The sequence below is a fragment of the Homo sapiens genome, chromosome 12 (genome assembly GCF_000001405.40).
Source record: "Homo sapiens chromosome 12, GRCh38.p14 Primary Assembly".
NCBI classification, from domain to species: Eukaryota; Metazoa; Chordata; class Mammalia; order Primates; family Hominidae; genus Homo; species Homo sapiens.
In genome coordinates this window covers 122,849,679-122,870,888 of record NC_000012.12, presented here as the reverse complement: position 1 = coordinate 122,870,888, position 21,210 = coordinate 122,849,679, and the positions used below count along the sequence as shown (strand labels likewise).

Here is a 21,210-nt window from a genome sequence, read left to right as displayed (position 1 = left end):
TAACTTTTTAAGGGTGATCATTCGAGAATAAAGAGTTGAGAGAAGGACACATTTTCAAGCTATTGCCCTACCAGGAAAGAAATATTACGGAAAAATTTCAGGTTAAGATAGCGACTCTACTGCAATGAACAAATAGCTTATGTATATTATTTATTTATTTTTAGAGACAGGGTCTTGCTCTGTCAGACTGGAGTGCAGTGGCGCAACCATGGCTCAGCACGACCTCCTGGGCTCAGGTGATCCTCCTGTCTCAGCCTCCTGAGTAGCTGGGACCACAGGTGTGCACTACCCCAAGCAGGCTAGTTTTTCATTTTTTTGCAGAGAGGTTGTCTTGCTATGTTGCCCAGGCTGGTCTTGAACTCAAGCCATCCTCCTGCCTTTGCCTCACAAAGTGCTGCTATTACAGACATGAGCCACTGTATTGGACTAGTTTATGTATGGAATATGGAGGGCCCCCAGACCTGCGGCCTCTCTGCACTTGCGGTTCGAGAGGGCAGGGTGTATAGCAGGACTGCCCCCTCCTCCCAGTGGCCCTGACTGGTGGCGGTGACTGCTGAGGTCAGCCCAGGTCCACACGCACCTCCAGGGTCTGCAGTGTGAAGCAGGTTGCAGAAACGTGGGTACCTCGGGGCAGTTACCAGAAAAGGGGCTGGAGATTAGGAGGAAGCCAGCCAGTTTAGCAGTCACCAGTTTAGAAGAGGAGACTTAACCACTTTTTAAATTCAAGACCCCACCTTCTCTAAACAGCATAGAAAAAGCTTTCTGAATTATGATATTAAACAGATGTCTTATGACGTTTGCCCGTTTGTCTTATGCTGTTTGTTAATGGTAAAAAAAAAAAAAAAAAAAGCATCACTGAAACACTTTATTTTAATGGCATACTTTAATTTGCAGCCATTAGGAGGAGACATCAGAATTAAAGATTGTTGAGCATCCTAAGTGCTTTTGATAGTTATCAAAGGGACATTTAGATAAAGTCAGAGCTGGGGGTGGTGGCACACGCCTATGGTCCTAGCTACTTGGGAGGCTAAGGAAGGAGGATTGCTTGAGCCTTGGAGATTGAAGCTGCAGTGAGCCATGATTGCAGCCCTGTACTCCAGCCTGGGCGACAGAGCGAGACTGTGTCTCTACAAAAGAAGTGAAATAAGCTGGGGGTGGTGGTGCTCGCCTATAGTCCCACCTACTCTGAAGGCTGAGGCCACAGTGAACTGTGATTGCATTACTGTACTCCACCCTGGGTGACAGAGACCCCATCCCTTTAAAGAGTTTGGGTTAAAGATCACCTTCTGCAGTGAGGTTTACAGTGATGTCTGTCACTACTTGCTATCATCTTGTCATTTTCTCCATTAACTTCAGTAAAAATTTACGATCATACACCCAAACCAGAATGACGAAAAGTAAAAAGACTGGCAGTACCAAGTGCTGTGAGGTGCCGTGCATCTTGCTGGTAGGAGTGTCCATGGGTCATCTGGGGCTTGCAGGCTGCACTGCCACAGCCACCTCCTTTTCTCATTTCACCTGGGGAAGGCTGTTGGGTAGCACCTGCTAGAATGAAGAGTGTGTATGCGCTGCACAGCAGCTCTGCTCCTGGGTGTATACCCAACAGAAGTGGATATTAATGTCTCTCAGAAGATAGGTACAAGAATGTTGTATCTTTATTACCTTATAATAAAATTTGGAAACAATAAAAATGTCCGTCTACAGAGTGATGGGCACATAAAGTCTGTTTACACAATGGAACACTACACAGCATTGGAAAGAAACGAACTGATTCACAGACCTGAGCAGGGTCTCAGAGACGCGGTGCTGAGTGCAAGAAGCCAGGAGAGTATGACCTGTACTCTCTGATTCCAGGATGTGGAGTCAAGACCAGGCGGACCTCCTCTGTGGTGGTGGAGGCCAGCGTAGGGGTTATCTGGCGGGTGCAGTGGGCGTGAGGGCGCCCGGTGGAAAGGTTCTGTGTCTGGATCTGGGGGGTGGTGGTTGGCGGTTAAACACGTGGAAATTTGACTTACACACTTGAGATGTGTATACTCGATGTAAGTTACCACTCAAAACATAAAGGAAATACAAAGTGGCATGATGAGAATGTCACTGCCCCATATTTGAAAACAGCTGGTTCTAGAAGCAGCTGGTGACACAGGTTGCTCTGACATGGGATGTTGGCCCCTGGGCACTGGCTTGGTGCACTTGTTCCCCTGTAGGTTTTCAAGCCTTTCACATTCAGCTTCCTGGAAAGGAAGGTGCAATCCTGCCGTGGTTGGCATCATGAAGGGCTTTACCTGGACACCTCTCACTTTTGTCATACCTCTTGCTTTTTTTCCAGACAGACAGTCTAGCAGTGCTTCCTTGGAGACCCTGTTAGCACTTCTTCAGGCAGAAGGGGCCAAGATTGAGGAAGACACTGAGGTAAAGCCCACCAGCCTTGGTGGAATCCTTGGGGCGCTTTGGGCAGTCCGTGGGCCCGCTGCCTCCAGGGACCGTGAGTGCCACACCGCCACGGCCAGGAGTGGTGCCTCCCAGGTGTACGGGCTGTATACCAGCAGGCAGCCTGGCCTGTGTGCTGGGGAAAGTGCCAGGCAGGGGTCCAGGGAGCAGCGGGGTGAGTGAGGGCAGGTCCGAGCGAGGGCCAAGAGAGGGCATGCGTGCCACCCTGTGAACGCCGGCCCCTGGGGCCAGTGGCGGATTACCACGTGCCGTCGTTCAAGGGCCAGCTGGGAGGAGGCTACAGAGCTTCTGGGACACGTCCAGCTGCGCATTAGAGCCTTGAGCCTCGCCAGGCGATAAGGAAATGAGTCAAGGTCGAATGTTGTGCAGTTGTTGCAGGCTGGGGCCGGCAGGGTCTTGCCAAGATAGGGCTGGGCTCGATGAACTCTGAAGCCCTGGGGGCACAGGTGTTTCTGTCTTGCTTACCCACCCAGGGCGAGTCTGTCAGTCAGGGTGCAGCCGGGTGGAAGCAAGGAGGTGTTGGACTCCAGCGGGCTCGAGAGAGGCCTGGGACCCAGGAGTCGGAGCCCTCACCCAAAGGCCAGCTCCTCTGCCTGTCACGCTGGTGGTGGGGTGCGCAGCAGGGCTGTCGTCCTCTCCACCTAGTGGCAGCTCATGCTGAAGCCTGAGCCCATGACCTCTGGGATCTGGAGCAGGAGCGAGGCCCTCTGGGTGGTTACAGGGAGGGGGCAGTGTTGGAAGCAGCTGGGCGTTGCCTCTCCTTGTGCCTAGACCACGAAGGGAGCATCCTCCCCATCTGGCTGTCCCTGTAACCAGGTTTCTGCCTCTTTCAGAACATGGCAGAGAAGTTTCTGGATGGAGAACTTCCTCTGGATTCCTTCATTGATGTCTATCAGAGCAAACGGAAACTGGCCCACATGCGACGGGTGAAAATCGAGAAGCTCCAGGAGATGGTCCTAAAGGGGCAGAGACTCCCACAGGCCCTGGCCCCGCTGCCCCCCAGGCTGCCCGAACTGGCACCTACCGCCCCCCTTCCCTACCCTGCCCCAGAGGCCAGTGGGCCTCCTGCCGTTGCACCTCGGCGCATCCCCCCCCCACCACCCCCGGTGCCTGCGGGACGCTTAGCCACCCCGTTTACTGCGGCCATGAGTTCGGGACAGGCCGTGCCGTACCCAGGATTACAGTGCCCGCCCCTGCCCCCCCGCGTGGGCCTCCCCACTCAGCAAGGATTCTCTTCGCAGTTCGTGTCCCCATATCCGCCACCTCTCCCTCAGAGACCCCCGCCCCGGCTCCCTCCACACCAGCCGGGTTTCATCCTCCAGTGAGCGCCGGCGCGGTCCTTCCCGGGAGACTTCTTCCACCTGGCGTGTTGTGCTCTGCTCACGGGAAGGAGGCTGGAGGTCCGCTCTGTGCCAAGGGCTCTGGGGCCCTGGGCCAGCGTGTCTGTCTGATTTTAGAACTGTAGGTCAGTGGTGAGTAGTAGGAGCCCAGGCTTTGGGCATCAAGGCAGTTGTGTGTGCCGGGTTACAGCCTGACACCTGTGCGTTGCATCGGTTTGCATTATCCGTGTGATTTCTAAGTATCTTAGCGTTGATGAACTCATGTTTGGGAAGAAATAGGCCTCTCCCCCAGTCCCATTTAGAATCGTGGTCCTTCTGTTGCAGCTTTATTTAATGAGCATGGTTCATGATACTTATTTTATTTTCGAAAGACAGTCCTATGTGTCTCACCCACCGGCCACTGCAGCCCTGGTGAGGGCGGGTGGGCGCCGGCCGGCCTGGAAGAGCGCCGTGGCTGGGCCACCACCTGTGGCTGCGTTGTTGCTCACTGAATCTGTTGGGGAGAGGTCACCATAGTCACCGCCTGACCTGGCTGCTGCTCTTGCTTCAGAGCCACAAGCAAAGTTTGCACTGGGCCCACTGCCGAGTCCAGAGGCCGGAGAACGGCCACTGGTGTGGGAGGGGAGCGCACGAGTGGGACTTTGCACAGCAAATTGTGTCCCCAGCTCCTCCTCTCCCGCCTGCCTGGAGCCGGCCCTGAAGGTTTCTATGAAGAAATAATCCCCCAATATTTTTACTACGTGTGTGATTTTCCTGTTTTATATTGAAAAAACTTTTTTGACACTCCCAAGACCATTCAGGGAAATTTTATAAAAAATGCAGATACTGTCTTGAGCAGATCGAAATGCCGATGAAGTGGATGCAATTTCCTTTTGTGCAAGCAGTGCACGGTGCCCCCCCCTCGGGTGTCCGTGCTGTGCCTTAGCTTCCCCAGGTGCCGGGACTCACACCTGCTAGGGGCTGGGCAAGGCCCCGGCTCTGCTTTCTCTGAAGGGCTTGTCCAAGTTCATTGCCCTGTTACAGGTGGTCAAGACGTCCGGCCGCCTTGACCCAGGCTACCCTTAGCCAATATCCTCTGCCCCTGGGTGGCTGGTGGCTGGGCCTCAGGGTGGGCAACGTTAGGGGTTTGGCGAAAGCCCGCCCCATGGGATTGAGGGACGGGGCTGCACTCCAACCGTCTGCACCTGCTCTTCCCCCACCCCTGTGGGACCTCATCTTCACGTGCCATGTGTGCTGAAGGCCCAGGGCCCAGCAGGGGGCAGTGGCACCTGTTGACGGAAAAGGCCGAGGTGCTTACCAGTGGACCTTCTGGCCCGCCCCTCCCCTGTCACTTGTCGGGCATCCAGGGCCCCGACCTGTGCCTAGCCGCCAGGGTGACAGAAGGCAGAACTGAAGCGGGGTCTGGGCCACGGGCCAGGCCACTGCCTTTTGTCCTCAGTGACCGTACATTCCTGCTCTCGGACTTGAACTCTACTGTAACTGTTTTCTTAAAGGAAATGAAGCTGTACAGGACGATTCACTGCCATGCCAGTCAGGCGGGCTTGCCATGTTCTGTGAATCTCGAGTGAGCGGTGCCACCCGCCCCCATACCTCCGCCACCGGCCGCTGTCGGGGATGCCACAGCCTGCCACGGTCGCAGCCAGACGTGAGCTTGGCATTGAAGTTGCAAAGCGGCCCCTGGCCGGGCTCGCCGTCGCTGTCCAGGGCCGTGTCCGGTGCTGTGGCTGTAAAGCTGTAGGACCCTTTTTAATAAATAGAGAATTATTAATAACAGGCCTGTCACTTATTTACTTGGGGATGTGGATGTTCATGATGTCTGGTTCTGAAACATCAGTGATCAAAGTTCCAGCAGGGAAGCTGGCTGGGACGTCTGTTTTTGAAGCTGAAGACAAAATCTCTGCCTGTCCAGGGCCCCTGGCACAGGTGGGGCCTCTTACCCTCTTGGTCACCAGTCTCATAAACAGCAGTCACGTACAGGGCATGTTCTGTGTCTTAAGAGGGTGTCTTCAGGATCACAGCCACTGTGTCCAAGTAGGGGACTGAGGGTGACCTCAGGGCTCAGACTGTGCCTGCTCTCTGTCCGTGAGGTTGCCGCCGTGTGCTGTGTGAATGGTGGTACTTGTTAGGATTTTCTGTGTTGGTTTTTAGTGGGAAAACCAGTGGCTCTGATGTTTTGCTTTGGGGACTTGCCAGCAGGTGTTTCAAGAAGGCAGTTGCCTCTGCCCATTTCAAAGCCCAGTGGGTGCTGTTTCCTTCTCTAGGCCGAGAGGAGGGGACCCTGCAAACCCTGCCTCCTTGCAGAGCTACAGAACTGCCCTGTGCCCGCCGCCCCGGCTGAGCCGTGCGCCTGCAGCTATGTATGTCCGCCGCCCCAGCTGAGCCGTGCGCCTGCAGCTAGGTATGCCCGTCGCCCCGGCTGAGCCGTGTGCCTGCGTCCTCACCACCCCAGCTAAGCTGTGTATCTGGGTCACAATGCCCCTGCAAGGGACTTGAGGAACTGAGATGAGAGCAAGCTCACCTGTTGCTGTCTCCTGTAATAGCTGCCATTCCTGGCACATCATTGTTCTATGAGAATGTACAGGAGAAATTTCTGTGGTTTTTCTGTGAGGAAGAGGGAAGGATTTCCTGAGAAGCCAGTTAGCCTTAAAGAAAAAGTGTGTGATAGTTTCTTTCTTCCCAGTGGCTGCCAGGAAGCTTATAGCCAAATCTGTTGTCCACTCCAGTGAGGATGCTGGACTTCACAGAGTCTTGTGGCTCATGAACCTTGCCTTGTGGGAGCCTCTCCTCCTGCTGTGTGTCCCATTCACAAGGAGGACCAGGGAGAGGCAGTGACAGGTCCAAGAGGGTGGGGGAGCAGGACCAGACCCCAAGCTCCTGCTTTCTAGCCCCACACTTGAGGCAGCCTGTTCAATTAAAGGTTTCGGCCAGGCACAGTGGCCTGGAATCCCAGCACTTTGGGAGGCTGAGGTGGGGGGGGGGGGGGGGGGGGGGCGGATCACTTGAGATCAGGAGTTCGAGACCAGCCTGGCCAACATGGCAAAGCCCCCATCTCTACTAAAAATACAAAAATTAGCCAGGCATGGTGGTGCATGCCTGTAATCCCAGCTGCTCGGGAGGCTGAGGCAGAATTTCTTGAACCCGGGAGGAGGTTGTAGTGAGCCAAGGCACGCCACTGTATTGCCACCTAGGTGACAGCAAGACTCCATCTCAAAAAAAAGTTTGGTCATTGAGGACTCAAGAATGATCAGTTAAGCGTTGTCAATGCCTGTGGATTTTCATTTGTATCTGGTGGAGAATCAGTTCCGTTAGTGTTTCTGAAGCCATCTTGCCTTGTAAACAAACAAGAGCCAGGCACAGGGTCTGTCTTAGCCCTTGTGGTCAGTTTGCAAGGCCCTTTCACCCTAACCACCCGGCACAAGCACCCCGGCTACGCAGCCTTAGCTGAGGCCCCACTTCATCCTCCAGGAGACGTGAGCACAGGTGGAAGGCTTGTCTGAGGCCATACAGGAGCCAGCCAAGGGGCCTTTTCTCTCCCCTGACCCACCCTGTCCTGTTTCTCTATAAATGCCAGTGATCTTGGCAGGGGGTAGGACAGGGTGAGCTCCCCCACCTCAGCCTTCCCTCTGGCATGGTGCTCCTGGGTAAAGTGGGTGCTTGTGAGGCTGCCACACACCCAGGGACTGAACACCTTTCCAGGTTTCCGGTAAGTGCAAAGGCTGTGTGTGGCCATGGCTCAAGTCCAAGCCAGCCGGGAGTCAGGGTCCCCACCTTAGCTTAGCAACTGTCAGTCAGGCATGGTCTCAGACACACTGAGGGGGTCAGCAACTGCTAGGAGCCCCAGGGAAGCTGTGGGCATTGAGGCTGGGAGTGCAAGTGGCCTCTGTGGAGGCAGCTGGCTCTTGGCCTCCTGTGTAAAAGGAGGGCCCTGAGGCCCATAAATCCCCCGAGAGAGAGATGGAAGGCGGACACACACACAGCCAGTGACAGCCCTGCTGAGCTTTTCTGCAGTCCCAAGTACTCTAGCATTAAATGCAGACATGAATAGGTCCCCGCCCCAGCACCTGGCCAGGGCCGACAAGGGAACACGTGTCCCTGGAGGAATGAAGAGCCAGGCACAGCCCCTCCCTCTGGGGCATCAGTGACAACAAACAGTCAAAGTGCATTTTATTGCCAACAGAACACTTCAGGAGGAAATGCTAACACAAAGCCAAGGCGCTGGTGCTGGCTCATTTTTGCTCCTCCTGACCTTGGCCAGTATTTGGTAGCCTTTCCAGAGCACAGGGTGAAAGGCTAAAGGGCTAGGGCTGGGGTGGGGGGAGCAGGAGGGCATGGCAGCTGCTGGCTCTGTCCTCCCAGCCTGGTCCCACCCCTCCTGCCGCTCTCCTTGGGCTCAAGGGACACACATTCGTTCAAATCTGACGGGCAAAGCCAGGGCCTAGCCCACTCTAGCCGCAGGGTCCCCTCCCTGAGGGCCCTGGTCCAGCACCTGGGTTTCTGGGCTTTTTCTGGCTGAGCTGGAGGGCCTAGGGCCAAGCCCACTCTCCGGAGGGCTGGAAACCACCCCTTCAGGTGGGCAGTGGGGCGCGGCCAGAACGGGGGAATGGAAAACAGGAAATGGGGGTGGCTGCAGATTCCAGCTGGAAATGGAAACTCACTCCAGGAGTGAAGGCAGCGCCCGGGCCGCTATGTCTCACCTCACTCCCCAGAAAGCGGCCCCTTCCAGCATCTGACCCCTCCTGGGGGGCTCCCATCACGGAGGCCCGAGGGCCAGGCCTGAGGAGTAATGGGCGACATTCCTCTAGCCCACACAGAGCCTGGTCTGCGGAGACCACGCAGCTGGAGGGCCTGGTAGAATCGGTGCCCCAGAAGGCCACAGACAGGATGCCTGACCCTCGTCCCATCAGCCGGCACGGGCTGTGTGCCTTCCATCCATCCACGACCTTCAGGAGTCCAGAAGGCAGGGAGCCCCACGCTGGCCCGGTTTCCCAGTGTGCTGACTACAAACGTAGGAAGAAGAGCTCTAGCTCGGAATATTAAAAACACTATTTTCTGAAGAGGAATATTAAAAACACTATTTTCTGAAGAGTTGAGGCTCAGGCCTACCGGGTCCTGGCTGCACCCCAAAGTTCCTTCTGCAGATAAATAAGAGACTCACATCCAGAAGCACCACCCACATGGCCCAGGACCCTGCAGGCTCAGTAAGGGCCAGGGGCCTTGAGGACATTGATCCAGACGGTGGGGCGGGAGGCTTGGGCACCAGGTGGAGGGGCAAGGCCTCTCGGTCCTGTCAGGGCAGTTGCAGAGGCCCAGGCCTGTCACCAGCCACCCTGCTGGACCCCTGGGGGGCCTAGTAGTTCACGAGTTGAGCTGGGTAGATGCCATCCTTTTTGTCAAGCTGCAGGGGTTAAAGGTGGGGGGTCAGTGGTCACAGCCAGGCACCTGGGGCCCCACCTCTCCCTTGAGCAAGCTCCTCCCTGCATGTTGTCAGTGGTCCCTGACTTCCCCAGGGACGTGCACCATGTGCCCCTCTAGGGCTGGGGACAGCACCCCCGTCCAGGAACTCCCCCATCCCAGTGCAGACGGCACCTGGTGGTCCTGTCTGGGGGCCACGCTGGGCTTCTGGGCCAGGGGTGGTTTCTTGGTGGTTACACTTCGGGGGGCAGTGCTGGGCCGGATGGCCACCTCCTCTCCAGGGCTGCCTGATGCCCCAGCCAGCACGTAGTGTTGCTTCCGCAACTCCCCCAGCCGCATGCGTTCAGCCTCCAGCGTCTTCTCCAGCTCCAGGACACGCACCTGTAGCCACACGGCCTGCTCAGCCCAGCCCAGCCTCCCCAGGGAGCTCTCTCCTGGGTCCAGGCTTCGCCCGAGGGATGAGCTCAGAGGTCACGGGGCAGCCATGGGCGCCTACCTGGGTCTCCATCTCCTGCTTCTTCAGCTTGATGAGGGACAGGCCGGAGAAATCCATGGTGTCTGTGGCCGGAGGACAAGGGGGTGAACATCTGGGCACCCACCCCCATTCAGCCTCGGGAGCCAGCAGCCCCCGTTGGCATCTGGCACTCACCTCTGTCCTCAATCTGCTCCTGGCCTGACTTGGTGGAGGCCACCACATTGGCAGCCCTCTCATTGACTGTGCGAGAACATTCCTGCAGGCGGCTCAGGTGGGGGCTGTGCTTGTTGGCCTTCACCTGAGGGGCGAGAGGTCAGGGTGGGCCCAGGTCTCCCAGCTCAGGGCAGCAGCAGGCCTGGGCTTGGCAGCCACAGCCCAGGCCAAGCTGGGCCCAGAGCCCAGTGTGCTGCTGTCGGCGTGCAAGCTCACCTTGGAGGCCGCCACCAGCTGGGCCGTGCTGGCTGCGATCTCGTGGGAGCAGACGATGAGCTCCTCATACTTGCCCGTGTGAAGCACCACCTTGTCAGCTGCCTCCCTGCGGGTCAAGGGCCAGTCAGGGCCAGGGTCTCTGACCCCACGGACGGCTGGCACCACTCCACACCCCCTCTACTCCCTGCACCCTGTTGAACCCCAAACTGCTCCAACTGGCAGGAAGCAGCCCCCTGCCCCCCCCCACCCAGGGCAACCTACACCAGCTGTGTGGCTCCCCAGCCCACAGCCTTGGAGGCCGAGATGAGGCCTTCGGTCCAGCGCGAGTTCTTGGCGTAAAATTCCTGCTGCGTGGCTGCCCCCTAGTGGCGACGGGAGAACAGGGCAGGACATGCCAGTCAAGGACACCAAAGGTGGAAAGTGGCCCTCAAGGGCCCTCTCCCCCTCACTCTGGCCATAGGGCGCATCCCTGAGGCCTCCCTGTGGTAGGGGGTGGAGGGTCTCATGCCCAGGGTGGCCTAGGCTGGGGGTCAGGCTCCTTGTGGACTGTGCCCTGCTGCCGCCGGCCCCTCACCCTGCCGCTCTCCACGATCTCCTTCTGCAGGCTAGTGGATGTCGTCACCAGGAGCCGGATAGCCTGCCGAGACCAAGACAGCAATGACTGGTGGCCCTCCAGGTGCAGACCCCCCCGGGTCACAGCCCCTCACCTTCATCAGGTCTGTGCAGGAGTTGAGGATCCTGGGGGAGAGAAGGAGAGACTTAGCTGCCGCTCTGCAGAGCAGCCCACACGACGCCATGGCGGGCCTGGCCACATCAGGGCTCAGCAGGTGGGGAGGGAGTGTCTGCTCTGAGCCAGGCCTTCCTTTCCCGTGAGCAGAACAGTTGGGGGCAGAACCTTAGGGGCCACGGGGAGCCCACCTCGGCTGGGCCTGGGGGGACAGAAGGGGGGCTCACCTCTCGTTCACCTCCAGCTTCACCCCCGAGCTGGCGTGGCGTGCCTGGTTCATCATGTCCTGCACCCAAGAACAGAGCCGTGAGCTGGCTGGGAGGAGGGGACCGTGGTCCTGGGAAAGCCAGGGCTGCCTCCTGCCCTCTCAGCTCTGACCTCACAGGCCCCTGGAAAACGCCATCTGTCCTCTGTCTGGAGGCTGAGAGCAGGAGTGGGTGCAGCCTGTACCCAGCCCAGTTGGGGCCTCCGGCCCCCAAAGCTCCACAGGAATGAGGGGAGTCCCCAGATCCCGTGCTCACCTCAATCCTCCGCACAGCATCTTCAATGGCTGCGGATGTGGCCGCCATCTCCTTGTCGACCACGGCCCCCAGCTCCTCCTGCCGCACATCTAGGCTCTTGGGTTTCAGTTCCTGGTGAGGATGGGAGTCAGACAGGGGTAGCCTCCGTCCCCCCCCGTCCCACGGGCAGCCTGGGAAAGAGGTTGGGGACCACAGGGATCGAGGAGGGTGCATGGTCCCCACCCTGTGTCCTGAGGCTGCAGGCTCCACGCACAAACACCTGTTCAGCCAACCCAGAGGTGGGTGCAGAGGTCAGAGGCAGGCCCAAGCCTCCCAAACCCACACTCAGCTGTGCCTCACCTGGCCCAGCTGAAGGATGCCCTGCAGGGGTGTCCGCACCAGGCTGGCCTGCATGTGCCGCAGAGCCTGCTGGTCCTGCAGCTGCCCCATGAGCTCCAGAGCCCGGGCCCCGCACTCCCTGCAGGTGTCTATGAGGCCTGGGGTGAGAAAGGACCGTGAGTGGAGCCCCCCCCACCGACAGGCTCCATAAGGACCCCCAGGGGAGACAAGCCAGTGAGGTGGACAGAACCTGCCATCCCAGGACCCACTTACGGTCGGCAGGGTCGGTGGGAGCCAGGTGCGAGGTGGCACCGCCATTGATGATGGTATCCGCAGCCAGGTGGGAGAAGCGGGTCAGAGCTGCCACCAGGGCGGAGGCGTCTGTGCGGGTGGGTGGGGCCAAGGTTGGGGGAGGATGACACTGAGACACTAGCACTGGGACCACCGTCGGTGGCCAGCTATCCCAGGAGGAGGAGGAAGAGGAAAGGAGGGCTCGGCAAGACAACGTCCAGGAGGCAGTGGGAACCACACCACAGTGTGTGTGGCCCCGGGCCCTTCAGTGCTCTGCCACCTGCAGACATATGGTGGCCCAGGCCCCAGAGGCAAAAGCCTATTTGTCCACAGGGCAGGGGTGGGTTCCTGGGAAGGAGCAGGCAGGGGGCATCTGCTTGGCTTCCCAGAGAGGTCCCTGCTGTCTGTAAACCTCCCAAAAGGCAAGAGGTGGCCATGGGCGCTGGAACTGGGACACAGCCCCCGCCTCCGCCCTGCCCTGGCTACACTCACCTGCCAAGGAGGTCAGGTACTGGGCGTGGCCCTCCTCCAGGGTGCTCACGGCATCCAAGGCCTCCTGGGCCCTGCTCACCAGGTAGTCTGCAAGCACGAGGAGAACTGAGGCCCCTGCCACCCGCTGCTCAGGGCTGGGGATGGGAAGGAGGCAGGGGAGCGGCTGAGTGTGGCCCCACTGTCTACCTGGGGAGCTGGTACAGCGCAGGTGCAGGGGGTCGTCCAGCTTGCTCACGGCATCCTGCAGGATGCCCGCGGCCTCGGCAGCAGCGCCCCGCAACACTGCGAACTGCTCGTCCAGCAGCCTCTGCCGCAGCCCCTGCTCCTGAGACTCCTGGCAATGGGGGTGAAGAGGACAGGTTAGAGATCCTCCCCAAGGCCAAGGATGTGCCCCAGCCCTGGAATGACCCATGGGCCACCAGTTGGAGCCCAGCTGAGACCCTCACTGGTCAGGGGGGTGGAGATTTCTAGAAAGAGGCTTCCCACACAGTGCACAGCTCAAGAATAAAAAGATAACCCAATTAAAACGTGAGCTCAAGGTCCTAAAAGACATTTCTCCAAAGATACACAAATGGCCAGGTAGCTCATGAAAAGATATGTAGCACCCTTTGCTATCAGGGAAACACAAATCAAGACCGTGAGAAACCACTCCACACCCACTAGGATGGCTAAAATAAAAAGAAGACAATAATAAGCATTGGCAAGGATGTGGAGAAACTGGAACATTCATGCGTTGCTGGTGGGAGTGTAAAATGGTGCAGCCACTTTGGAAAACAGTCTGGTAGTTTCTCAACAGGGTAACAGAGGTGAGACCCAGCAGTTCTACTGTGTTCCACACACATCAGCTATCTATCCAAGATAAGTGATGGCAGATGTTTACACAGAAACTTGTGCTCAAAGGCCCACAGCAGCACTATTTACAACAGCCAGAAAGTTGCAACAAACCCAATGTCCACCAAGTGATGAACAGATAAACACAATGTGGTCTGTCCACACGGCAGAGTACGACTCAGCCATAAAAGGAATGAGGTAATGACACAGGCTATGATGTGGTGACCCTTGACAACGTGATGCTGAGTGAAGAAGCCGGACACAAAAGGATGCATCGTGTATGATCCCCTTTACATGAAATCTCTAGAACAGGCAGATCACGGAGACAGATCGATGGTTGCCAGACGGCAGTGAACTCAGTGGTGCTGCTGCATCTGGGGAGGCCATACCCTCTCTGCCAGCCGGCCCTGCAACTCGCCCTGCTCCTGGGAGCTGCGCTGCTGCTCCCGGCTCAGCGCCGCCTCTGTCTCGCGCACCAGGCTCTGCGCCGCCAGCAGGTCTGCCTCCCGCTGCCGCACAGCTCCACTCAGAGCATCCTTCTCCGCACTCAGCGTGTCCAGCCGTGAGCTCAGCTCCGACTTGCTCTGTGGACAGACATGGACACCAGGCATGTGAACAGAGCTCCCAGGCCCCACCCACCCTGCCCCCACGCTTATAAACTGGGCCCTGGGGGTTAGTGATCACTTCCATTAGACTCAGGGCTCCCTGAGGACCAGCGGTAGGTCCTGTCTCCCATGTAGCCCCTGGGTCTGGGTCAGGGCTGCATCCCAGGATCACCGAGTGGCACCCAGGTGGGGCCTGTTCACGGGAAAGAGGACCTGACTTCCACCCAGGACTGGCCCCAGAACCCCACCTCCAGTCATCAAAGCCAGATGCACCTGCTCTGTGTGGCTCAGGGCCTCCTGCGCGCGGGCCAGCTCTCCGGCCTTGGCCTCCAGCTCCCTCTTGAGCTTCTCCAGCTGGTCGCTCTTCTCCTCTAGCTGGGACAGGACAGCGTGTCACTGGGGCAGTGGGCTGGGGATGCCGGGGCAGGGCCCTGTGCCACAAGGGACATACCTTCAACTCCGACTCCCGCTTCACCTGCTCCACCTGGAAGGCCAGCTGCTCCTTCACCCGCGCCACCTCCTCCTGGCTTTGCTGCGTCACCGTCAGCTGCTTGGCTGTGTCCGCGTTCTGCATGGGCAGGGGAAGGGCTCATGCTCTGCTGCCATCCCCGAGAGGCCCTGCCACCGGCTGGGATGGAGGATGGGCTGCACCTACCTTTCTGAGCAGCTCCGCGTGCACATGGACGAGCTCACTGTGCTTTTCCTTCAGCTTGTTGTAGCGCGCCTCCGTGGCACTGGCCTTCCCTGGGGGCGAGAGGAGGGGCAGTGATGCCCCGTGTGGGGTGGCAGGGGCTGGGGACACACCCTTGGACCCCTGTGGCCAAGGCCCCACGTACTCTCAGCCTCCTCACGCAGGCCCTGGCTCCGCTCGCCCTCCAGCTGGGCAGCCCTCAGCTGGGCCAGCTCGTGGCGGAGCTGCTCATTATCCACCAGGGCCTTCTGCTTCTGCTTCCGCTGCTCCTCCAGCTCACCCTCCAGTGCATTCACCTGGCTCTTCAGCTGCGCGATGTACCGCTGGGCCTGCGGGAGGAGGTGTGACGTGGGGCCCTGCCTGGGCCGTGAGGGGCCCTGGCCCCCACCCATCCCCACCCCGCACCTCCAGCTTGATCTTCTCCAGTTCAGAGCGGAGCATTTCCACCTCTCTCTTCAAGCTCTCAATCTGGAGGTCCCTGGGGACAGAGGTCCTGGGGTTCAAGTTAAGTCAACCAGAACAGTCAACAGACCCAGCACAGGAACCTGTCTCCTCCTCAGTGGCCACTCAGGATTTGGGCACCTCACGGGTTCATGTTCCCCACCTATGGCCTTTCCAGACAGAACTGTCCAGAGCACAGCTCAGCTGAGCCCGTTTCCAACCACCCCCAGCCCAGTCGGCTCCTCCAGCCCTCACCTGTCGTCCTTCACAGACCCATTGGGGGGTCCAAACGTCTGATCGAAGAGGTCAGCCACCACCTGCCACAGCAAAGCATGGTGACCCCACTCACCTGTGCCCTCCAGGCCGGGCAGTGGGCAAAGGGAGGGCTGGCCACCCGACACTCCCGTTGGCCTCATGCTGCAGCTGGAGGACTGGGGGACACGGGCTGGGCAGGGGGCTCACCACTGGCTCCCCCGCGGGGGGCCCTGTGCTGATCTCAATGAGATTCTCCGGCTCCTCATCTTCCGGGGCCTCCTCGGGGATCACCACCACCGGCTTGATGTGCTCAGCCAGGGCTGAGGCCCGCAGGAAGTTAGGGGGTCCCTGCAGGGGCGGCAGGTGGGACCTGCTCAGCTGTCCCCTAAGCAAGCCCTCCTTCCGCCATCTCCATAGCCTGTGTGGGGCCCAGCCAGGTGCCTGGGGTCCTCAAAGGGCCTCGGGGCCCTCTTGGGGGTGGTACCTCGGGCAGCCGGGGGATCTGGATGAGCCGCTTGAAGTACAGCATGTCGGAGGCTCTGCGGAAGAAGTTCCTGAGGCTGCAGAGATGGTGGGAAGTTCGGGTTCAGGAAGGGGCCACGGAGCCTCTCCCCCACCGGCCTCAATCCTGTCCCTGTCCCAGGCAGTACCTGTGAAACTGCTCGTGGAACCGGTCCCTGTGGCCTTGCAGGGTGTCCGCAGGGAGACCTGGAGGGTGGCACAAGTGTAACAGGACTTCTCTGCACACTGCTCAGGGGCTCACCTGCCCTGCCTTGTTCCTCCGTATGCTACAAACTCACAGATCAGAGATCACCTGAGACCGGGCCAGGCCCGCTCTCCCATCGGGATGGGGAGACCTGTGGGAGACGCTGTGGGAGGGCTCAGTTCAGACTGAGCTAGAGAAGGAAACAGCGAATGGAAAGGAAGGCGCTGCGGCCACATCTCACCTAACCCACACCTGGCTTCGGGAGGCACTAGCAAGCCGCTTTCACCAAACACGTTGGTCCCAGGCTGACACTAACACAGTGGTTCTCAAAGTGCGGTCGAGGGACGAGACCCTTTCAAGGGGTTGGTTAGATCAAAACTCTCCTAACACCCCAGACACCTTTTGCCTTTTTGCGCTTGCACCCCCAGGGTGCCTGGCGGGAGATTCCTGGGAGCAGCTGGGGCCTCCGTCTTGGCCGAGCCAGGCATTTAGTCGTAAAAATGAAAACCAAGCCACTCACTAAGTTTTTTGCTTGGTAAAGTAGTGGGTTTTTTTTTTTTTTTTTTCATAAAATATATGTTATTTCTATTAATGGGCAGTGGGTTTATTACTGCCATTTTTAAATGAATAAACCTCTAATTTTTCGATTTTCCTTTTTGACAGTGAATGTCTAAGCCATATAAACACAGCCTTCCGGGCCAGGGGTTGCCCTGGGCCACTCACAAGAGTGTAGCTTGAACAGGAGCTTGACCGTGTAGTGGTAGAGGTGGCTGCAGTCCTGGATGACCTGGATGAGGGGGGCCAGGCGGCACTGGCCTGAGGACATCTGGGATACGGCGATGGCCGTGTTGAGCTGTCGGAAAACTGTGCAAAAGGGGCAGGAGGAAGAACGTGAGCCCTTGGGAGCTGGGCAACCTGTCCAAGGTGGTCCAACTGTGAAGCAGGGCCCTAAGCCAGCTCCCACACACCAGTGTGCCCCCTGCCTCCAAGACGGGAGCCTCATGTGCTGGTGGCTGCCCCAGGTCAAGACCAGATGCTCCCATGAAGGAGGTCAACGGCAACAACAAGGTCAGGGCAAAGGAGCTCCCAGCCCAGCTCAGCAAGGGCTTCCAGAGACCTCCACCTGGGAGCCCAGGACGAGGTGCCCGACTGACAAGGGTGACGGATAGCTCCATGCCCACGGGCCTCAAACCCACGCTGAATGTTAGAGCAGGAAGGAGGCTCACGATGGAGCACCCCAAATGCCTAACTTTACAGATGTGGGAACAGGCAGGGCTTCTGCCAAGTAACACGGCACTAGGGTCACAGCTTGGCTCTGCACACCCCAAGTGACCCTGAAACCTCGCTTGCCCCCAGGGCCCATCTCCCCTGCCCCTGACACCCCCAGGGCCCGTCTCCCCTGCCCCTGACACCCCCAGGGCCCGTCTCCCCTGCCCCTGACACCCCCAGGGCCCGTCTCCCCTGCCCCTGACACCCCCAGGGCCCGTCTCCCCTGCCCCTGACACCCCCAGGGCCCGTCTCCCCTGCCCCTGACACCCCCAGGGCCCGTCTCCCCTGCCCCTGACACCCCCAGGGCCCGTCTCCCCTGCCCCTGACACCCCCAGGGCCCGTCTCCCCTGCCCCTGACACCCCCAGGGCCCGTCTCCCCTGCCCCTGACACCCCCAGGGCCCGTCTCCCCTGCCCCTGACAATCGGGCCTTGTATCAGAACTACCAAGTGGGAGGGACAAAGGACAAACATGAGGCTGCCTCCTCCTTGGCTGGCAGCTTCTCTGGGGCAGAGAGAATGACAAAGAGCAGGCAGCTGGCCAGCACGGGAGAGCGGCCAGACAGCCCCCGCTGCACAGACCTGTGCCCTGGCCCCTCAGGTCCTGCTCCTGCCTTGCCTGTGATGGGACCACTTGCAAATCTCTGCAGTGACAGGAGAGAGCCTGGGGGGGAGGGGCAAGAAGGAAGACACAAAGTGCCGCCCCTTGCCTTTTTAAAAAAGTAATCTCTAATTACATGTCATGCTAAGTATGTTTTCCTTGCAAAAAATTACAGCACACATAAAGTACTGCTTGGATCTTCAACACGTATGTCCATGCTGTTCGGCAATCTGCTTGATTTCACACAGTAGAATGTTTTCTAGATCTTCCCGGCCATCCCAGATTCGACACATCTCTCTTCCCACCACCCTCCGTTCTCTGCTCTGCACAGACAGCGAGACGCAGCCTCTGCTGAGGCATGTTTAGGACGTTTGTGTTTCTTTGCTGTTACAGGTCCTGAGGCAGGGAAGCCCCTGTACCTGTCACCTCTGCAGATCTGGGAATTTCTCCAGCAGATGCTGGTACACCCCATTTGTGCTTCATCAACACACCAGCGTCACCAGGTGGGAAGCGTGCCTGTGAGTGTTCTCCACTTCCCTCGTGGGGCCACTGCCTGCCCACACTGGCCTTCTCCCATGCCAGGGGTAACTGGCTCCTACCTGGTGGGCTCTGTGCTGAGAGGCTCAGGCTCAGCACATCTCTGCCAGGACACAGAGCCTGGTAGCCCTGTCCTGCTGCACAGTTGGGGCCACACCTTTGGACACCTGCCCTCTGCTCTCCATGTCAGATCCTGAGCAGGCTCTTCCCAGGCACAAGGGTCCAACTCTGAGCCCACCTCCCACCCACTGGAACTGAATACCCATCAGGCTCGCCCAGCTGCACTGGCCAGACCTGGGGACTCAGGGAGGCTGCCCAAACTGCCTCTAACTCCCAATTTTCCCTTAAGGAGGCATTTGCTTCTTGCCCTCTTATGGAGAGCACTGAGTCACCCATGAGTTGTTTTGAAGCTGCCACCCAGAACAATCAGTTCTCCAGCCTGGAAGCTGAGCCCTCTGAGATTTCCTGTCCAACAGCGGCCGGGTTCCCTCGCTAGGAAGTCTGACGTGACTCAGAGGCTTTCTAGAGCAGAAAATGGCAGGACGACCCAAACCTTTCTTCCAGCTGGGCTCTGCAGATGGCCCAAGGCTGGGGCAGGAACCTGGCAAGGTGGCTCCTGTGCACACCTCCTCACCCTCCCTGTCTTGGGGCTGATGGAGTGACACTCACTGGATGGAAGAGATGGCTGAACCTGTATCCTGGATGTACCCGCTGGGGCCTGCCATGCTTTGGAGGGGCCAGGAGGCCCCATTACCTATCCCTGGAGGTGCAGGGACCCCAGGAGGGGCAGGGGCATTTCTTTTTCTTTTTTTTTTTTTTAAGACGGAGACTCACTCTGTTGCCCAGGCTGGAGTGTAGCGGCATGATCTCCGCCGCCCAGGTTCAAGTGATTCTCCTGCCTCAGCCTCCCAAGTAGCTGGGAATACAGGCGTGCGCCACCACGCCTGGCTAATTTTTATATTTTTTTAGTAGAGACAGGGTTTCACCATGTTGGCCAGGCTGGTCTTGAACCCCTGACCTCAAGCAATCTGCCTGCCTCGGCCTCCCAAAATGCTGGGATTACAGATGTGAGCCACTGCGGCTGGCCAGGGTCATTTCATAGTGATCAGTTGGTCTGATCACTCATGTCTTCTTTTTTCTTCTCGTCCCATCTCTGGGGACTTAGCAATACACTCAGACCCCCGCATCCCCTCTTTACGGCTCACCTGATTCAGAAAGCTTCAGCTCACAATCCATGTAATCAAACATCTCCACAGTGAGCTGGAAGCTACGCAAGAGAAGTGGGGGAAGAAATGAAAAAGGGTGGGTGGACCCACCCACTCGTCCTGAGACGCCCCCTCCAGTGGGGACGGGGGCACCGCCGACACCATGGCTCTGGTGAGACAGCGTGCCTCTGCCAGGACGACAGTCCTTCAAGTACACCCCACCCTTTTAACTTCACCCTCTGTCCCTGGGAGCGTGAGCATCAACCAACAAAGCCACGGACTCATTCAACCCCACTGCCCCATGCGGACGCCTGGGCGTGAGACGCGGTAGGAAGGAATGGGGAAGCCGAGGGGAACTGGCTATGTAGCCATGCAGAGTGACTCACATGTTGTTGACATCGGTCCCAGCTGCCTTCTCCAGTACCTCATCTGTCACCTCCAGGCCCGCGGGAAACTGGGGATGCTGTGGAGAGAACCCCCACCCAGCGGCCACTGAACCAGGGCCCCCCCACACCTGGCGGCCACCGAACCAGGGCTCCCCCCCACCCAGCGGCCACTGAACCAGGGCCCCCCACACCCAGCGGCCACCGAACCAGGGCCCCCCAACCCAGCGGCCACCGAACCAGGGGGCCCCCCCACCCAGCGGCCACCGAACCAGGGCCCCCCCCACCCAGTGGCCACCGAACCAGGGCCCCCCCCACCCAGCGGCCACCGAACCAGGGCCCCCCCACCCAGCAGCCACCGAACCAGGGGGCCCCCCCACCCAGCGGCCACCGAACCAGGGCCCCCCCCACCCAGCGGCCACCGAACCAGGGCCCCCCCCACCCAGCGGCCACCGAACCAGGGCCCCCCCACCCAGCAGCCACCGAACCAGGGGGCCCCCCAACCCAGCGGCCACCGAACCAGGGCCCCCCCCACCCAGCGGCCACTGAACCAGGGCCCCCCCAACCCAGCGGCCACTGAACCAGGGGGCCCCACGCTGGACCCTGCTCTTGGCAGACCCAGGCTGTGGCCCACATAGGTGGCAGAGGGCAGTGGAGGGGTTGGGAGGAGGGGAGCACCCGGCCAGCACAGCAGAGACTGAGGAAGCCCAGCGCTCATGTCCACAGAAACGCCTGGGGAAGCCCGTGCCCACGTCCACGGAAATGCCTGAAGTGTTCTAGGAGCTTCGTGATGCCCTGGCTTCCCCGTCTCCCCTTTAGTCATAGTTGGGACAAGAAGGTGAATGGAAAGACTCATGGAGAGGACAGATCCCACCCTCGATGTCCCAACATGTGCCATAACGTCACAGTGGGAAAAGCCCACGGGTCCCTCAGCCCCATGACTCCCCCGAGGAAACCACCTTGAGGTGGAAGGAGATCTTGGTCAGCAGCAGCTTGGTGTAGACATTCACCAGCTGTCCGTAGCGGTCATGCAAATGTCCCTGTGTGAAGACAGACAGGGTGAGGGGCCACGGCTCGTGAACACGTCCAAGAGTCCTCAAGGACCTGGGCACGAGAGTGACCCACCACCGGGCACTTCTTCATTCAACAAACGTCTTCTCCTGGCCTCCACCAACCACCCTCTCTGTCTCTAGCTTTTTCCCTTAATCTTCCTCCTTGTCATTCCTGCCAAAGAAA

At 58.9% G+C, this 21,210-nt stretch overlaps 2 protein-coding genes and 1 long non-coding RNA gene across 9 annotated transcripts in view, besides 2 other annotated features; 1 reads left to right on the top strand and 2 right to left on the bottom strand.

The window, feature by feature from the left end:
* The window catches only part of VPS37B (VPS37B subunit of ESCRT-I), a 30,795-nt gene extending 25,236 nt beyond the window's left edge, over nucleotides 1-5,559 (top strand). For all 5 annotated transcript variants that reach the window (NM_024667.3, XM_011538743.3, XM_011538745.3 and 2 more), the window contains 2 exons: nucleotides 2,327-2,409; nucleotides 3,282-5,559. In NM_024667.3, the coding sequence (NP_078943.1) occupies nucleotides 2,327-2,409; nucleotides 3,282-3,773 (575 nt within the window). In that variant the 3' untranslated portion in view covers nucleotides 3,774-5,559. The remainder of the gene's footprint in view (nucleotides 1-2,326; nucleotides 2,410-3,281) is intronic.
* On the bottom strand, nucleotides 5,532-6,753 carry LOC124903039 (uncharacterized). The gene is made up of 2 exons (XR_007063500.1): nucleotides 6,307-6,753; nucleotides 5,532-5,889 (listed from the first exon to the last, which is right to left on the bottom strand). It is a non-coding gene; the product is annotated as an uncharacterized LOC124903039 (long non-coding RNA).
* Nucleotides 6,754-7,927: 1,174 nt separating this feature from the next.
* Nucleotides 7,928-21,210, bottom strand: part of HIP1R (huntingtin interacting protein 1 related) — a 28,214-nt gene continuing 14,931 nt past the window's right edge. For 2 of the 3 annotated variants that reach the window (NM_001303099.2, NM_001303097.2), the window contains exons 5-18: nucleotides 20,934-21,014; nucleotides 19,978-20,054; nucleotides 19,592-19,653; nucleotides 16,706-16,846; nucleotides 15,927-15,984; nucleotides 15,761-15,836; nucleotides 15,484-15,624; nucleotides 15,277-15,338; nucleotides 14,986-15,058; nucleotides 14,726-14,909; nucleotides 14,545-14,633; nucleotides 14,341-14,457; nucleotides 14,163-14,264; nucleotides 12,872-13,868 (exon numbers count right to left, since the gene is read on the bottom strand). In NM_001303099.2, the coding sequence (NP_001290028.1) occupies nucleotides 13,641-13,868; nucleotides 14,163-14,264; nucleotides 14,341-14,457; nucleotides 14,545-14,633; nucleotides 14,726-14,909; nucleotides 14,986-15,058; nucleotides 15,277-15,338; nucleotides 15,484-15,624; nucleotides 15,761-15,836; nucleotides 15,927-15,984; nucleotides 16,706-16,846; nucleotides 19,592-19,653; nucleotides 19,978-20,054; nucleotides 20,934-21,014 (1,491 nt within the window). In that variant the 3' untranslated portion in view covers nucleotides 12,872-13,640. Of the gene's footprint in view, nucleotides 9,184-9,374; nucleotides 9,582-9,696; nucleotides 9,759-9,849; nucleotides 9,974-10,104; nucleotides 10,211-10,365; nucleotides 10,467-10,678; nucleotides 10,742-10,811; nucleotides 10,843-11,058; nucleotides 11,118-11,352; nucleotides 11,464-11,691; nucleotides 11,829-11,943; nucleotides 12,052-12,453; nucleotides 12,541-12,639; nucleotides 12,788-12,871; nucleotides 13,869-14,162; nucleotides 14,265-14,340; nucleotides 14,458-14,544; nucleotides 14,634-14,725; nucleotides 14,910-14,985; nucleotides 15,059-15,276; nucleotides 15,339-15,483; nucleotides 15,625-15,760; nucleotides 15,837-15,926; nucleotides 15,985-16,705; nucleotides 16,847-19,591; nucleotides 19,654-19,977; nucleotides 20,055-20,933; nucleotides 21,015-21,210 lie in introns of those variants that run through there. The other variant, NM_003959.3, reaches the window with a different exon arrangement.
* Nucleotides 10,113-10,407: a silencer, noted in NCBI's record as "tiled region #11411; HepG2 Repressive DNase matched - State 12:CtcfO". NCBI's record gives its function as "represses a minimal TATA promoter and a strong SV40 promoter by Sharpr-MPRA in HepG2 cells {active_cell/tissue: HepG2}" and the evidence as "EXISTENCE:reporter gene assay evidence [ECO:0000049][PMID:27701403]".
* Nucleotides 16,521-17,021: an enhancer, noted in NCBI's record as "H3K4me1 hESC enhancer chr12:123338415-123338915 (GRCh37/hg19 assembly coordinates)". NCBI's record gives its function as "activates a minimal SCP1, AML or CMV promoter by ChIP-STARR-seq in primed H9 embryonic stem cells {active_cell/tissue: H9 hESC(primed)}" and the evidence as "EXISTENCE:reporter gene assay evidence [ECO:0000049][PMID:30033119]".